Source organism: Homo sapiens, chromosome 11, assembly GCF_000001405.40.
Source record: "Homo sapiens chromosome 11, GRCh38.p14 Primary Assembly".
Taxonomy (NCBI): Eukaryota; Metazoa; Chordata; class Mammalia; order Primates; family Hominidae; genus Homo; species Homo sapiens.
In genome coordinates, this window is record NC_000011.10 from 86,007,404 (window position 1) to 86,026,022 (window position 18,619).

The 18,619-nt window shown below is 36.0% G+C and overlaps 1 protein-coding gene across 31 annotated transcripts in view; it reads right to left on the reverse strand.

Annotated features, from left to right (window-relative positions):
- PICALM (phosphatidylinositol binding clathrin assembly protein) overlaps positions 1 to 18,619 on the reverse strand; it is a 112,686-nt gene that overhangs the window by 50,229 nt on the left and 43,838 nt on the right. For all 31 annotated transcript variants that reach the window (XM_047427666.1, NM_001206947.2, XM_047427660.1 and 28 more), the window contains exons 4-8: positions 14,964 to 15,066; positions 7,467 to 7,560; positions 4,878 to 4,989; positions 3,627 to 3,733; positions 139 to 180 (exon numbers count right to left, since the gene is read on the reverse strand). In XM_047427666.1, coding sequence (XP_047283622.1) covers positions 139 to 180; positions 3,627 to 3,733; positions 4,878 to 4,989; positions 7,467 to 7,560; positions 14,964 to 15,066 — 458 coding nt within the window. The remainder of the gene's footprint in view (positions 1 to 138; positions 181 to 3,626; positions 3,734 to 4,877; positions 4,990 to 7,466; positions 7,561 to 14,963; positions 15,067 to 18,619) is intronic.

An 18,619-nucleotide genomic window follows, 5' to 3' on the forward strand; every position in this document is an offset into this window, starting at 1 on the left:
GGAATACATCAAAATGTTAAAACTGGTCAAAAACTGCATTGATCCCTTTGACAATGGGGGCTATATGTTACTTATCTTAATACTCTTCACAACTTGTACACAACAGATAGTGGATTGGTATTTTAACAATAAACTTACCTGTGAAAGGTCTGGTATATCACCTCTGTCAATTCCAACTTGCTGTAAGAAAAGCATTGTATTTAATAAATTATAATAAAAATATTTTATAAATAAAATTTGGAAAAATGACATCACGGCTAGTACCAGTAATATTTTAAACAGACTTCTTAAGAATCAGGAAAATATTTAATCTCCAAAAATACTCAACATTTCCAATGGCTTAGATATTATTTGGTGGCCCTAAAAGTTCTTAACAGTAGGGAAACTAGAGTTGGAAAGTCAACAAATCTAAGTTACCATCCCTGTCTTCTGAACACCTGTATGTAAGCTACCTTGTCACAATCTGAAAACTCCCCTCTCTTCTATGTGTAATATGATAAAAACACTATGGTAAGAATGAGAAAGCCTGACCATGAACAAGCTCTTTGATGCAAAAAAAAAAAAAAATTTAAGAAACAAACCTGAAGACATCGACTTTGTCTTTCTCCATAAAACATGCTTTCCCTGGAAATCACCACAGATAACACTTTAAAAACTCATGCTCTGTCAGGTAGGCCAGGTTTACATAAATGTCAAGTGATATCTAATCAGGATATAACTGTCTTCTCAAACCAATTCCAATATACCTTCATGATGCTCAGGCCCTAGGCAATTTCCAGCAAAAAAAGATAGAAACGGTTCCTGTGTATTCTAGCACCCCAATTAGAAAACTATTTTCTGTCCCGTGGCTGTGTTTCATTTTCTAATCAGTCTCCCTTCCTTTTGTGACCTCTCAGGGGCTGGTCTCAGAATGATGTCAGCAGAAAATCTGATAAAGGCCAGATATGGTGGCTCATGTCTGTAATCCCAGCACTTTGGGAGGCTGAGGTGGGCGGATCACGAGGTCAGGAGATCTAGACCATCCTGGCTAACACAGTGAAACCCCAGCTCTACTAAAAATACAAAAATTAGCCGGGCATGGTGGCAGGCACCTGTAATCCCAGCTACTCAGCAGGCTGAAGCAGGAGAATCGTTTGAACCCGGGAGGTAGAGGGTGCAGTGAGCAGAGATTGCTCCACCGCACTCCAGCCTGGGAAACAGAGTGAGACTCCATCTCAGGAGAAAAAAAAAAAATCTGATAAATTCATTATTACTCAGATGTTACTAATCACTGCCTGATATATTTGTCCTCCTCAAACATGTTTCAAGAGGTTACTCTTGCCTTCTTCCAGGAACTAAGGCGTTCTAATTAAACTGCAAGCCCAAACACAGTCTCAAAACAGAATATTTTAAGGTAAGGGACTCTGGCCGGGCGCGGTGGCTCACGCCTGTAATCCCAGCTCTCAGGGAGGCTAAGAGGCGGGAGGATAGCTTGAGCCCAGGAGTTTGAGACCTGCCTGGGCAATATAGTGAGACCCCGTTCTCCAGAAAAAGGAAAAAAAAAAAAGCCAAAAAAAAAAAAAAAGAAAAAAAGCGTAAGGTAAGGGACTCTTCATATTTTTCTTAAATCATATGGAGCAGGCTGGGTGTGGTGGCTTATGCCTATAATCAGAGCACTTTGGGAGGCCAGGGTGGGTTGATTACTTGAGGTCAGGAGTTCCAGATTAGCCCGGCCAACATGGTGAAACCTCATCTCTAAAATTAGCTGGGCGTGGTGGCGGGCACCTGTAATCCCAGCTACCCAGGAAGCTGAGGCAGGAGAATCGCTTGAACCTGGGAGGCAGAGGTTGCAGCGAGACGAGACCATGCCATGGCACTCCAGCCTGGGTGACACAGCAAGTCTCTGTCTCAAAAAAAAAAAAAAAAAAAAAAAAAAAAAAAGTCATATATAGCAGACAGTCTATTGCACCTAAGAATAAGTTAACAGCAGATCTGGAGTACAGAAGGGGGCTTACAACTTAAGTTTGGGCGGGATGCCATGGCTCACGCCTGTAATCCCAGCACTTTGGGAGGCCCAGGCGGGCAGATCACCTGAGGTCAGGAGTTCAAGACCAGCCTGGCCAACACGGTGAAACCCCGTCTCTACTAAAAATACAAAAATTAGCCGGGTGTGGTGGCAGGCACCTGCAATCCCAGCTACTCGGGAGGCTGAGACAGCAGAATCGCTTGAACCCAGGAGGTGGAGGTTGCAGTGAGCCAAGATTGCGCCATTGCACTCCAGCCTAGGGGACAAGAGCAAGACTTCATCTCAAAAACAAACAAACAAAAAAAACTTAACTTTGTAACTACAACTACCAAATGCAAAGAACATAAAAGGCCAAGAGGGAAGGTCAACAAATTAAAACTTACTTGAAGAATTTACTAGAATCACAGCATAAACACCACCTTCTTCTGTTTTAGTACGTGACTGACCCTTAAAAAACGGAAAGGATCTTTCTCCTTGAAACATTTTTAAATTCAAAATTAATTTCAGTAGGCTTCATAAAACAGCAGACTAATAACAAAGCTATTGTTGATCATCCTGTTCTGTCCTATTGCATCTAATATAGAATAATATATCACCACAGTAACAAAGCCTAGAATCACTATGTTGCTAATTCCAAAGTAACTGCTTTGACATAATTGAGCAAATTATCCTAGGAAGAAATCTTTGGTGGAGATGGGTAGAGGCTGGAGAATGGGAGAACAAACAAAAAAACCCCTTAAGAACGCCTCTGTGGTAGCAAGATAATGCCTGCAAGTATTACCACACCTGCCTTCCGTGACAATTTCAGAAAATTATTTTTAAGCAGAGCTGCAAAATTAGATATCCTATTACCTACATTCATAGTTTTCACAATCAATGATAATAAATACACAAAATCCATTTCTGTCGGGGAACAAAAGCTTTTTTTTTTTTTTTGAGATAGAGTCTTGCTCTGTCGCCCAGCCTGGAGTGCAGTGGTGCGATCTCAGCTCACTGCAACCTCCGCCTCCTGGGCTCAAGTGATTCTCCTGCCTCAGCCTCCTAAGTAGCTGGGATTACAAGTGCCCGCCTCCATGACTGGCTAATTTTTGTATCTTTAGTATAGACGGGATTTTGCCATGTTGGCCAGTCTTGAACTCCTGACCTCAGGTGATCCACCCACCTCAGCTTCCCAAAATGCTGGGATTACAGGTCTGAGCCACGGTGCCCAGCCAACGAAAACATTTTGAACTATGGCTCCAGCTGTCTCACTGGAAAGAAACCTGCACTGATACTGGATATTCTCTACCACATTTAACAATAAACATTCTCAAATATATGGTTCATTCCAACCATAAAAATCTCTGGCACTACTGTATGTCACCTACTTAATTTTATAGAGAAGTAAACAATGTAAAAACAGGTAACTTTTCAATACTCGCTATTGAATTAAATTTACAGCATGTATTTTATTCACTACTTTATCATATTCATATCTTGCCACAGAATTCAATACAGCATAATAATGATTGAATACTAAATTGAAGACATTTATTTTATTTGGATAGTGAGTGATGACTTCAAAATCCATACTTACAGACAAAAAGGCAAGTTAGGAGACAGTCACTTAAAGACAGTTTACCTCTGCAACTTTGAGGAACTCTGAGATTCTTGTCATCCTAGTTAGGAACTTCTTATAGATGTCAAGACCTTCTTTGCATTGGTTCTTTTTCATATCAAAATATTTTTCTGACAAAATAAATGTAAAAATTCTTTTGTTCACATCAAAATATAACACCCAAAAAAGGAAAAAAAAAGTAGGTAATAGCTCCAAATAGGTCTCTAAAGGAGCATACATACCCTACTAGAAAAATATCAGTGTTAAGTTAGCTTAGGTATTTAAAGCAAATTAGAATAGAGGTGCTATTATACTAAAAAAAGAAACATTACTTGACCCTACTCATATTCCTAGTTTGTGCCATAGTACTTTTCCTCACAATTACCTAAGTACATATTTGTGTGTAAACACGTACCACACTTGACCCCATTTAAAACAGCACTAACATCTATTTCCAATCTTACTAATAGTATATTATCTAAGATAACAACTTTACCATGCCCAAATGTCACTCAGAAAGTTCATTTAAGTTTAATGTATACATAGAAAAGGTTAATTTATACTAATTATAGTATTGAAGACTATGCCTTCCAAAGCTTTATAGAAAAACCTTTATTTTTCACTTGTGAAAAAATAAGCCAAATTTCCCTATCCCTATAGATTAAAGCATCCCTGAGTAAGTCCACGTTACTTCAGACTATAAAAAACAGATTTAAATTTTTTAAAAGTTCATTATGGAGTTGATTATGAGAAAACAATATTCTTCTGGGACAAAATATTTGTTTTTTTCCCATCTTTTTTTATTGTGGTAAAATACCTGTAACATAAAACTTACTATCCTTTTTGTTTTTTTTTTTTTTTTGAAACTGAGTTTCGCTCTTGTTGCCCAGGCTGGAGTACAATGGCACGATCTAGGCTCACTGCAACCTCCGCCTCCTGGGTTCAAGCAATTCTCCTGCCTCAGCCTAAAACTTACTATCTTAACCCAGCTAAATTTTAAAGGCACTTTTATATTTCTAAAAATTAATAAAATGGGTGGAAAAAACATAGATACATCTAAAAAATAAAGTTCATCTTGCTGAACATCCTGGGTATAAAAATATGTAATCACTTGCAGAAGTAATTAGGTATAAAACTCTTTTCTCCAAATTAACTGTTACAATGAATGAATATATCATAATAAATTTTTAGCCAGCTTTAAGTAACAACTCAGTCAATATTGTTTATCCATATGACACAAGATAAGAAATGTTATTAGGCTACAGCAGTATTTACCCAACAAATTAATAATTCCTTCATTGTATGCTGCAAACAGTCTAATGGCATCTTTGAACAGGAGCATGAAGGCAGCATTTATTACCCCATTTGTAAGTTCATTGCTATTAACCTAGGGAAAAATTGGAAAATAAAATTAGCTAATCTTAGGTTTTAAATGACATTGACAAAAAGATTTCCTTCAAATTAAGATACAGTAAATTCATGCATTAGGCATGTTAGTGAAAAATACATTTATTTTCTCTAATACATACATAAAGATCACGGTGCAGTAGCTACCATATAAATGAACATTATTTATTATTATTAAATTTGCTGTAACCAGATAATTGTATTTATTTGACTAAAAGAATACTGGAAATATTTTTAGTTTTATCTCAAGGAATAAATCAAAAAGATAAACCAAATTAATTCTAAGTTCTTTTTTAGCACATGAAAATTAACTCGTTATATATAGAAAAACTAAGCACAAAATTGAATGGCAAACAAAAAACTGGTAAAAAAGTTATTTGCAGACTATCTAGTAGAGCTGATGTCCATTATATAGGGAGAATCCTAATAATAAATAAAGTAAATGAAAACAATTTACAAAATAAAAAATACATATGGATAATAACGTGAAAAGAAATACAACTTCACTTATCAGGTAAATTAAAATACAATAATCAAATCAAATTACTAAAATATCCTTTCCTGAACATCAGACTATATTACTCAGTGCCCATAAGAATGAAAAAAGAAAAGAACACGGTAGCTCATGCCTGTGGTCCCAGCACTTTGTGAGGCCGAGGCAGGAGGATTGCTTGAGCCTGGCAGTTTCAAATGAGACCAGCCTGGGCAACACAGCAAGACCTTGTCTCTACAAAAAACTAAAACCAAGAAAAGGCAGCTGAGCATGGTGGTGTACCCCTGTAGTCCCAGCTACTCAGGAGGCTGAGGTGGGAGGATTGCTTGAGCCCAGGAGTTGGAGGCTGCAATGAGCTATGATCATGCCACAGAACTCCAGCCAGGGTGACAGAGAAAAATGCTGTCTCAAAAAAACAAAAAAAAGATGAAAAAGCAAAAACAGACACCTGTTGAGAAGTTAGTGGCTCACCCTTTTGGAATATAAGCAATATTTATTAAAAATTTAAATGTTTATATTATTTGAACCACCACATTCTTTTTCTGGGTGTTAAACCTATTGAAATAGGTTTACAAATAGAAACACACACACACACAGAGGGAGAGACAGACAAGAGACAGAGAGAGGAGAGAGAATTGAGTGTAGCACTGTTTAGGATAAAAAAACAGAATAAACATCTATCAACAGGAGGATTAGATAAATTGTTATTATATAACAAAGTACAATACAGACATTGAAAAGAATAAGAAATTTTAAACAAATACAATATATTAAGAAAAATATGCATGGTTGGACCCTGAGATTCTATACAAACCAAAATAATGTTGAATAACTGCATCAGTACCCCATGCCTTCTAGAGCAGGGGTCAGCAAACTTTTTTTTGTAAAGGGTCAGATGGTAAATATTTTAGACTGTGGGCCACACAGTCTCTGTCATAACTTTTGAACTCTGCTGTTGTAACATAAAACAGCCATAGATAATATGTATCAGTGAGCTTGGCTGTGTTCCAATAATACTATTGAGGACACTGAAGTTGGAATTTCATGTAACTTCCACCTGTTACAAAATACCATTTAATTATTTTCAACCACTTAAAAAACATACAAAAACAGGCAGTAAGCTGTAGTTGGATAATCTCTGTTTTAGTCTATGAAATACCTGTAAGATTTATTGAATGTTTACTGAACACTTACTATGTGCCACATTAATAGGCAATGGGGGTACAACAGAGAACAAAAGTGACCTAGTTCCTGCCCTGAAGAAGCTTAAAAACTAGCAATTAAACAATTTAAAGGAAAAATCTATTTCAGCATGAAACTGTCACAGTTCCATTCACTAACTTGCACTCACAATCTCTAAAACAAAATGACAAATAAATAATAAACAAAACATTGTTAAGATAGATGACAAAAAAACAGAACAGAGTTGAAAACGTTAACTTCTAACACATTATAAATGAATGACAAAGCTGGCAGCTTGGTTCAAGTCATGGTCATTAAAACAAAAATTCCAGCGAACACAATGCCCTTGGGCAATAGCTACATAATAAGCTATTATAACTGCTATTTAAACTTCTTCTTCTGAATAATTGCCATGCTTTGAGTCCCATTAAATAGACAAAAGTAAAATATTAAGTTGGCTATTTATTTAAAAAATATCCCTGTACATTTTCAAGATCTAAAAGCCATTATCAAAAGAAAATATATTTTCAGATCAATCCTTTCACCACTTTAGCTTGTATATCTTAAAATTCTAGAGCTAGAGAAGCACTAAAGAAATAAATCCAAAACAGTCATAAAAATCAGAAAGTAATTTGACTTGAGACTATTTTATAAAAAATCCTTAGCCATATAGGATATCAGGATGTGAAAAACTAGAGTCTGTGAAAACTTGAGGTTAAAAATTCTCATGAATTATAATGACCTAATTTTTTAAAATCTTAAATTACAAAAGCATAACTCACATTAAAATCAAGAAGTGCATCCATCTGATTCTGAATAATTGGTACAGTTTTTAGGAGTTTTTCTGTGTTCATTGTTCTCATAACTCCATCAGCCCTGTTATGAAAAAACCAGAGAAATAAACAAATGAATCTGCAATTAAATCTACATTTCAAACTCCCCCCCTGGTTTTCTACTAAAACAGAGAACCAAGTTGCTATGAAATGTCACATATTTTTAAGTCATTATGGAACATGAAAACTGAAGCAGAGATCATACAGAAAAAACAAAAACAGGCAACACAATATGTCAAATATCAAGGTACTCATTTAGAACTAAAAAAGAACATAAAGCATGAGCCATAAAAGCAAAAGTATACATTATACAGCAAGGTCTATAGCTTGTATTTTCACAAGATGAAATGATCTGATCCTCACAATCATTGGTGTGTAAAGAGCAGTTTTACCATTTTTTAAAATTACAAATAAAATAATCATTTGCCTCAAGTCAAAAAACAGTTAAACACTCTGTAGGCCAAGAGTTAACAAAGTCTTAGAGCTCTGTTTTATTTAAAGTATTTTATTCATGACCCAACAGCAATGGCTTTTAATTCAGAAATTATAACTAAAACTACTTTATTACAAAATAAAGAACAATTTTACCAAATCATTCTAATCTGGCTATTACACAAGAGATACTTTCAATGGACAGCCTTTAATAAAATAGTCTGTTAAATATTTCCAAACAGATATTTCTAAAGATAGAGAAATTATTGGCAGCACCAAAACAGATTTAAAAACCAGTACATGAAAGGTACTGGGGCTAACGTACACAACTAATATTAAGAGCTTATTATATATCACACTAAGTATTATTCAGAGATTGCCCTATCATTTTCAAATCCTCATTCTACTGATTTACTGTTTGGTTGAGTAACAAGGCATTTCCAAAAAATATGTCAGGTTCCCCTAATTTACAAATGACCTATACTTATAAATGGCTGTTCTACCCTACGATAAACCATGAACTATGACCTCAGACGCCAAAAAACAATTAAGCTATAAAAAGCAACAACTGTGCTTTGTAGGACACAACAAAGTTTAATAACCAAATACTAGACTGCCTTAAGTAGTCACCTATTGATCAGCTTCGGCCTAATTCTCCCTAATGTGTTAACTTATGGATGCCTGTTTCCGCTCAAGTGCTAAACAGCATTGGCTGGAAGCAGCTGCTGGAGCTTGGGCTGAGGACACCATTCCTTCTTTTGCAACTCTTCTTACTGATGTCATTTTTTTACCTCTGGTTACTTCTCCATCACAGAAGATTTGAACATTGGCTCAGTCTTTCTTGTCATTAGCTTCAACATCTACATGGACAACCAATCCAACACCTTGATGTCAAAATCCCTGATTCTAACCTTACTGCCCCCAGAAACCACATCATCCTAGCCCCACCCCTGAAGAACAACAACAAAAAAAGGTAAAATTCAGACACCTTATTCTGTGACAATTACCTTTTAACCTTTCAGCTGCTTTGGTCACATATCCCTGTGGTAAAAACTATTTGACCTCATCAGAAACTTCAATGTTTCAACTCCACCACTACCCACATTGATCCTTTCTCATTTTTACTTTCTTCATCTAGCTTAGAATTCCACAGATCATTAATATAATCACTCCTTTACAAATACCTTTAACTTTCTTGCACCTCTTTTCTTCCCTGCATTTCAGTCATCTGGCAAATTCACTATCCTGGCTGAGCAAACACCTAACTAATCCATGCCTGTACACACATAGCTGAGTGCTGGTAAAGAAAACAGCACAACTGGGCAAACTGGCAAAACTATAAACTCATGATCATCAACCTCAAATGAATACTCAACATTGCCAGCAATCCTCTTAGCCGTCTCTAATAAAATCCTCTCCTAAGTATCTTCGAATCCTCTTCTCTTTCCTTGTCTCCTTACATGAAACACATAAGCTCTCAGCTCTTAACTCCCAAAATATTTCATTCTGGAACAGAAAATAACAAAAAGCAATTGTCTGGTCTTCTTGCCACCCAAACTATATTTCTATTTAAAAAGTGTTGGCTAAGGCTGGGCGCGTTGGCTCACGCTTGTAATCCCAGCACTTTGGGAGGCTGAGGGGCGAGTGGATCACGAGGTCAGGATTTCGAGACCAGCCTGGCCAATATGGTGAAACCCCATCTCTACTAAAAAATACAAAAAGTAGCCGGGCACAGTGGCATGCGCCTATAGTCCCAGATACTCGGGAGGCTGAGGTGGGAGAATCGCTTGAATCTGGAAGGCGGAGGTTGCAGGGAGCAGAGATCACGCCACTGCACTCCAGCCTGGGTGACAGAGTGAGACTCTGTCTCAAAAAAAAAAAAAAAAGTTAGCTTCTACCTCATGTTTTTCCTACCATGGTAGATTCCAAATGAATCCAAGATTAAAATATAAAACACCTAATCCATAAATATAACTGATGAAAACATAATCATTTTAGCTCACTGAGCTTGCTTGAAAGATAAAAAACATAAAAATGAAGATAATGATTTTGATCACCTAAGATTGTAAAGCTTTTAACAATGTTAAAAAACAAGGAAAAATACTCATAACCTATAACAATTTATTTTCCTAATATACAAAAAGTTCATTTGTTGAGTGTTTGTTATGTGTTAAGCACTACATACAATATCCCATTTAATTCTCACAACAATCCTGACAGGAAAGTACTAATTAACATCGTAATTTTACAGATGAAATAACTCAGAGCTTAAGTAAGGCCTTCCCAGTTTTGCCACAGCATACTAGTATGGTAGAAAGGGTTATAAGTGTGCCAAGATGTTGATCCTTTTTAACCCTTTAGCCTCAAGTAGTCTCTTGTATAAATAGTTAACAGTTTGTGTGCCACCATGTGAAAGAAGTTTAGCAAGCTGATAGATACGTAATAAAATATCCTTGTTTTTAGAAAATATTCACCAAAGTATTAAAAGATATAAACTATAAAAGGCATCAGGTATGTAACCCACTCTCAAATGGTTCAGAAAAAAATGTGTGTGTGCGCCTGTGTGAATATACACAGAAAGAGAAATGCAGATGTGGCAAAATGCTAAAAACTGGTGGTTCTGAGTAAAGTATACAGAAGTTCTCTAATATTCTTGCTACATTTCTGGAAGTGAAATTATTTTAAAGTAATATTATTTTTTAAAAGTCAGTAAACCAGCTAAAGTATCTCACTGAAGTCTCTCATCTAATTGGTGTGAAGCTAGAATTCAAACCTAGATTCATCTGACTAAAAAAGCTTGTGAGTTCTTACCACTATTAAACACAATGGAAAAGAGTGAAAAACCCAATAGAGAAGCTGTCAATGGACATCAAAAGACAATTAATAAAACAAGTATGGCATTCAAAAGGAAGGGGGAGTGTGCTCAATATCACCATTTATTCAATCAACTAATATAAAATGAACACATATGAACGCATTTTTCATGATGATGGAAGAATACAAATAACTATTTAAGCCAATAATTTAGTATAACTTTTATAAAGGATAATTTGGTGTTTTGTATTAAAATGTTAAATGTATATATATCTCAATGACTCATCAATTTTAATAATTTATTCTATAGAAAAACTCAATGCAACCATACATAAAAGGATGGTCAATCCACTGCTTTTATAAGATTAAAAAAAGGGAATAAATCAGATGTACACCTGCAACATAATTCTACAGCCATTCATAAGAATGAGATGGATTGAGGCCAGATGAGGTGGCTCATGCCTGTAATCTCAGCACTTTGGGAGGCCGAGACAGGTAGCTCACTTGAGGTCAGGAGCTCAAGATCAGCCTGGCCAACATGGCAAAACCCCATCTCTACTAAAAATACAAAAATTAGCTGGGCATTGTGGCGGGCACCTGTAGTCCCAACTACTTGGGAGGCTGAGACAGAAGAATCGCTTGAACCCGGGAGGTGGAGGTTGCAGTGAGCCAAGAGCACGCCACTGCACCCCAGCCTGGGTGATAGAGCCAGACTCTGACTTAAAAAAAAAAAAGAAAAAAATGAGATGGATCTATGTGTACAGACATTGAAAATGTCCAAAATACACAGGAGGGGAAGAAAAGCAGCCTTCAAAGAATCTGATCCAATTTTTATGTAATTTTCTATGTGCCTTTATATACATATTTCTATTTACTCGCACAGAAAAGGTTAGACACACTAAAATGTTAACATTTTCTATGAATTAGGATGGTATTTTTCTTAAATTTTATTACTTTTGTAAACATAAAAAAAAATCTTAATAAATCAAACTTTACTACTTACAATGAGAGTCCTCTCCAAAAGGTGTAGCCTACTGAGGTTTTTGCCATGATATAATAATTTCAATTGCTGTCATGTCCTCAATTTATACCTGATATTCTTGATTTTTTTCTTTTGTATTTATACAGTCTGACGTGTATATGTGTGTGTATAATGCCACTTTTGCACTTCTTCTTGGTCCCCACTCAATTATGGCTCCTCCTTGATTCAACTAAGTCAATACTAATTTTATTGTACTTAATCAGGAGCTATTTTCCTCCAATTAAAAAAGACTGCTCTATTAAATAAAAAAATTCACCAACTATTCTCAAGACTGGCCCTTCAAATTAGAACAAAAGTTACCATTTTAAAAATCTATTATTCTGAAATCTGTAAATACACTGAAGATCAACTTCACTGAAGACACTTTACAGTGAAATATTATTGGACAGGATACAGAGGTTAAAAATCAGACTTCTAAAAAAGTTCTCCACCATAATCTTCTACAAAGTGCTTAAATATATGAAACAAAATCTGTAGAATTTACTTTAGGTATATTCCAAAATAATCACCTCCTGATGGATTTGGAATGGCAGCATAGAACATTTAAATTCAGCTTTAAATTTTCTTGCATAACTAAGAGGTTACCTCTATATTTTAATTAAATTTTTCACTTCAGTCCATTAATTTAAAATTTCAATAGAACAATCTAAAGGAACACATCAATTGCTTAGACCTTTGGGATCACTGAGCAGCAGAGTGGCTCAGGAAGGCATTCACCAGACTATTTCTGTACATGCCAGATTCCCTTCAAGACAGGTCTTCATAGCTACAAGGGTCATCGCTGCTGCTAAGAATGTCTTCAGTGGCTTTCTCCTGAGGCCTCATCCTATATCCTAGGAAAAAAATCTGCATATCAGGTGTTATCACTTATAGAAGCACTGACTATATCATTCATGTGACTGGATCATGTACTAAGATGATTGTTATTTAGGGTGCAGCAAAAATTAAATGCATCTTCTGCATTTAAGATTAAAAGAAAGCTTAAATACAAAACAGCACTGAAAGAAATGAAAAAAGATCCAAATAAACAGAAACACATCTCTTGTTCATAGACTAGAAATTTAATCATTAAGAAGGTAATACTCCCCAAACTGATCTATAGATTCAATGCAATCCCCCACAAAATCCCAGCTATCTTTTCTGCAGAAATCAAAAAGCTGATCCTGAAATTCACATGGGAATGCAAGGGGCCCAGAACAGCTAAAACAATCTTGGGAAAAAAAAAAAAAAAAAAAGAATAGAATTGGAAGACTCACACGTTCTAATTTTAAAACACACTGCAAAGCAACAGTAATCAAGACAATGTGGTACTGGCATGAAGATATACATACAGATCAACAGAACAGAACTGCAAGTCCAGAAATAAACCTTTACATTTATGGTCAACTCATCTTCAACAAGGTACTAAGACTATCCAATGGGGAAAGAAGAGTAATTTCACAAAATGTTGCTGGGATAACTCAATATCCACATACAAAAGAATAAATTTGGACTCACCTCTCACACCATATACAAAAGTTAATTCCAAATAGATAAGAACCTAACTATATGGGCAAAAAATACAAGATTCTTAGAATAAAAAGTAGGAGTAAATCTTTGTGACCCTGGATTAAACAATGATTTCTTAGACATGATTACAAAAGTACAAGCAACCAAAGGAAAAAAAAGATACACTTAATTAATTAAAAATGTTTGTTCTTCAAAAAACACCAACAAGAAACTGAAAAGACAAGCCATGGGAGAAAAATATTTGCAAATTATTTATGCGATAAGAAACTGGTGCCCAGAACATATTTTTTAAAATTCTTGCAACTTAACAATAAAAAGGGCAAGTAACCCAATTTAAAAATGAGCAAAAGGCCAGGTCAGTAGCTCAAGCCTATAATCTCAACACTGTGGGAGGCCAAAATGGGAAGACTGCTTGAGCCCAGGAGTTCAAGACCAGCCTTGGCAACATAGTGAGAACTCATTTGTATGAAAATTTTTTTAAAAATTAACTGAGCATAGTGTTGCATGCCTGTGTTCCCAGCTACTCAGCAGGCTGAGGGGGAAAAATTGCTTGAGCACAGGAGGTCGACACTGCAGTGAGCTGGGATGGTGCCACTGTCTCAAAAAGTGAAAATAAAAAATAAAAACAGGGCAAAGGGTTTGAAGAGGCATTTTTTCAAAAGACGATATGCAAATGGTCAACAGCTCAAAAAAAATGCTCAATATCATTAGCCATCAGGGAAATGCAAACTAAAAATCACAAGACACCAGTTCACACCCACTAGGATGGCTACCATTTAAGAAAAAAAAAAAAAGGCAAAAAAAAACCCAGAAAATAACAAGTATGGCAAGAATAGGGAGAAACTGAAAGTGCCATACATTGCTGGTGGGAACGTAAAGTGATTCAACTGCTTTGAAAAATGATTTGGCAGTTCCTCAAAATGACAAACATAAGAGTTACCATATGACACAGCAATTCCACTTCTAGGTATACACCGAAGAGAATTAAAAAGATAATCCACATAAAATCTAATGTTCACAGCACCATTATTCCTAATAGGCAAAAGTAGAAACTATTCAAGTGGCCATCACCTTATGAACAGATAAACAAAATGCAGTATATGTCCATAAAGTAAAATATGATTTGGCTAGAAAAAGGAATAAAATACTGATATATGAAATAACATGGATGCTATAACTTGGACATATCATGCTACACAAAGGTCACATATTGTATAATTTCATTTATATGAAATGTTCAGAATAGACAAGCCCAGAGACACAGAAAGTAGATTCATGGTTGCCAGGATCTAGGGGAAGAGGGAATAGGAAATGAATGCTAATAGGTATAGAGTTTCTTTGTGGAGGTGATAAAAATGTTCTGAAATTAGTGGTGATGTTGGACAACTTTGTAAATACACTAAAAACCAATGAATTACACACTTTAAAATGATAAATTTTGTTATGTGAATGATATCTCAATAAAGGTGCTATAAAAAGAACTTAAAAACAAATCCTACCACAAAAAGTACTTGATATACCTCATCAAAGAAAAATGAGGCTCATCTTTTAAAACTGGCTAAAATTTCATAATTCATAATCTAGTAACTCCTATGTTTTACATTTTTAAAAATTCAAATCAATTAGATGTCAAAAAAAGCTTAACTCACCCTCTCTTCACTTTTGTGAAATCAAATGCAACTTGTCTGTATGAAACTGCTTTCTCATTTAAATATCTACTATACCGCCTAATAAATGTAGACATGTCATATCCTGTAAAAAAACAAAAACAAAAACAAAACAAAGAGAGAGACAAGTTTTTATAAATGACTAAAAATCCCAATATGCCTAGAAAAACAACTCATTGCATCCAATGGCTATAAAATGTCTTGATATCCCAATTCAATTTAGTATGTAAATTAAGTAACTAATTAATAACATTACCATTAAATTCTCTTAAGGCTTCATATTTAAATCAGATAAGTCCTATGTAGTTTTAAAAAAAAAACCTCTTCCCTTAGAACTTCACTATTCTCTCAATATTCCTATTCTTTATTCATCAGGAATTAGAAAAACGTTCTTTTACACAACTTGATAATCTCACAACTCAAATTTAACATCCTATGGAACCACAATCCCATTCCTCAAATCAAGCAACTTTATATAATTTTTATACTCCTAAAATCTTTAGCTGTATTTAGAACCATAACTTGTATGTGCCAACCTTATAAAAAGTATAAAAAATTACTGTGTAATATAAGAAATGGCAACATGCAAGTTCAGGGTGTAACAAAAACAATTATATGAATGTTTTCAATGAAACTTTCTAAATGAATACATAAATCATTCTAAGATTTTGTTTCATCATGACCTTGACTTGAAAACTTTAGCAACATAAAATCTAATCAATATTATTTTCTAAAAACACCAAAAACTTTGTGTTTTAGTTATTACCTGGCTCAAGGAAGTCTATAAATTTTTGCTCCTCATTGAAAAGTGAACCCATTTTATCTCATATTCATCTAACAAATTTAATTACTTGGTCTTTGCTACCTTTAAAAGACAATACCAAAACCAACCAAAATGTAAACTAACTGGATTTCAACATCACCAGTTCATTTATTTAGCAAAATATTTATTGAGTGCCTATTAAGTACCAGTGGAGAAAAATCAGTGAACAAAATAGAAAAAAAAATACTGCTCCCATATGACTTCATACCTACTACTGTACACGTCAGGTGTTACATGCTCACATTCCTCAGCTCTTCGGTTCATATGGTTCTATCTACTATACCCCATCCTAAGACGGTAAACACCTCTCATCCTTCAAGGCTCAACCTCTCGTCTACATAAAAAGAGTGAAATTATTAACACCTTACCACTAGAATTGCTTAATTTCCATCTTAAGAAAATGATAAATCAGTCGCTAATAAGACACAAAAAACCTACTTGGATATATGCATAAACTCTGCCTAGAGCACTGCTCTGCATCTTGTTTTCCATAGACTTTTAAAGTTAAAATGAACTGAATGAGGGAGGAAGTGAAAATTAAAGGATGAGTAGGCAGTTTCTTCCATGCCCCTGAAAATAGAGACACTCCATTTTTATCTATAATATATATCTGGCTTCTGTTTAAGATTTCAAAAAGAGGCCAGGTGTGGTGGCTCATGCCTGTAATCCCAGCACTTTGGGAGGCTTAGGAGGATCGCTTTAGACCAAGAGTTCAAGACCAACCTGGTCAACAGAGCAAGAGCCCATCTCTACAAAATATTTAAGAATAAAAATATTAGCCAGGCGTGGTGGTGCACATCTGTAATCCCAGCTGCTCAGGAGGCTGAAGGGAGGACCGCTTGAGCCAGGAGTTAGAGGCTGCAGTGAGCTACGATCATACCACTGCACCCAGCCTAGGTGACAGAGCAAGCCCCGGTCTCTCTTACTCCAGCCTCAGCAACAGAACCAGATCCTGTCTCAAAGAAAAAAAAAATTTTTTTTTCAAGAGAGGGGGTCTACTGTTTTAATTTTTTTTCCTTAAGTTAGAGCGCCGTAACTCTTGTTAAAATATAATGCATTTTGTAACAATGGGTCCTACATATAGATTACTGGTCTTCTAGAATGTCTGGAAGATAGGGTATTAAATTCTTTTTAAGCAATACCTGCACTTACCAAAGGGAAACAAGTATTGGACTGAACACCTCCAAACTCAAATACAGCCAGTCACATTAAAAAAAAAAAAAAATTCCCCTGATCTTTTTTTTTTTTTACACCTCCAGAAGAACCACAGTTCAGGCCCTGATTAACTCTACACTAGATAACCAGAACAACTGAAACAGTCTCAGCATCTTCAAGATTTGGTTTACTCTGATCTAACTTGACTAAGCTATGATGCTTTCCTGGTAACACATAATTCCCTCTCCCCTCCTCTCTCTACTGCATTATAAAATTCCAACTCTATAAAAAATTTTTGTGCTTGATTTTGGCTCTGAACAGCTTCTTGAGGGCTATCTGCCACTACATGTTCTCAAATACACCATTCATATATATTCTATTCACATTCATTTGCTCTGTAAATCTTAAATACTCATATCCATGTGAATGACTTTCACATCCATATACATCTGTGTATCTGTCCTTACTTTCACATTCATGTATTGTACCTGTGCTTAAGCCAACTCATCTTCTCATCCTTCTCTTGAAGCCCAGCACAAATCTCACCTTCTCTAAAGACATTTCCCTGATTGAGCCTCACTGTTGAATATTCCCAATTCATTTGGCATATCCTTTATGAGGTTCTCCCTAAAGCTAACATTCTATAATGCTAACAGCCTAGTTACAGAACTAAGTAAAACAGATCCCATTAAGACAATGTGCATGGACAGCTATAACCACATTATGTCCATTTCAAGTTACTAAATAAAAAATAGCAGGCCGGGTGTGGTGGCTCACGCCTGTAATCCCAGCACTTTGGGAGGCCGAGGCAAGCAGATCATGAGGTCAAGAGATGCAGACCATCCTGGCCAACATGGTGAAACCCCATCTCTACTAAAGATACACAAAGTAGCTGGGCGTGGTGACATGCGCGGGTAGTCCCAGCTACTCGGGAGGCTGAGGCAGGAGAATCGCTTGAACCCGGGAGGCGGAGGTTGCAGTGAGCCAAGATCATGCCACTGCACTCCAGCCTGGTGACAGAACGAGACTTCGTCTCAAAAAAACATAAATAAGAAAATAGCTACGAATATGAAGGAACAATTCATCTCAACAAATTATATCCACTTTAGCTACTAAAACATGTAATATTTCAACTACATTTCTTGGAATGAAACATAATATAATAACAATGAAAGCAAATATTACATAGCATTTCTTTTTTTGTTTGTTTTTTTGAGACAGAGTCTAGCTTTGTCACCCAGGCTGGAGTGCAGTGGCATGATCTTGGCTCACTGCAACCTTCGCCTCCTGGGTTCAAGCGATTCTCCTGCCTCAGCCTCCTGAGTAGCTGGGATTACAGGTGTGCACCACCAATCCCGGCTAATTTTTGTATTTTTAGTAGAGACGGGGTTTCACCATGTTGGCCAGGCTGGTCTTGAACACTTGACCTCAAGTGACCCACCCGCCTCAGCCTCCCAAAGTGCTGCAATAACAGGCATGAGCCACCGTACCCAGCCTTACATAGCATGTCTTGTGTGCCAGGCACTGTTCTAAGCACTTTGTAGTAATTAACTAGGTTAAGTCTCATGACAATCTTACTGGGTAGGTACTATCACTATTACTCGATTCTACTGATGCAGAGGTGAAGTAACCTGCCCAAGTTCATATAGCTGGTAGGCAG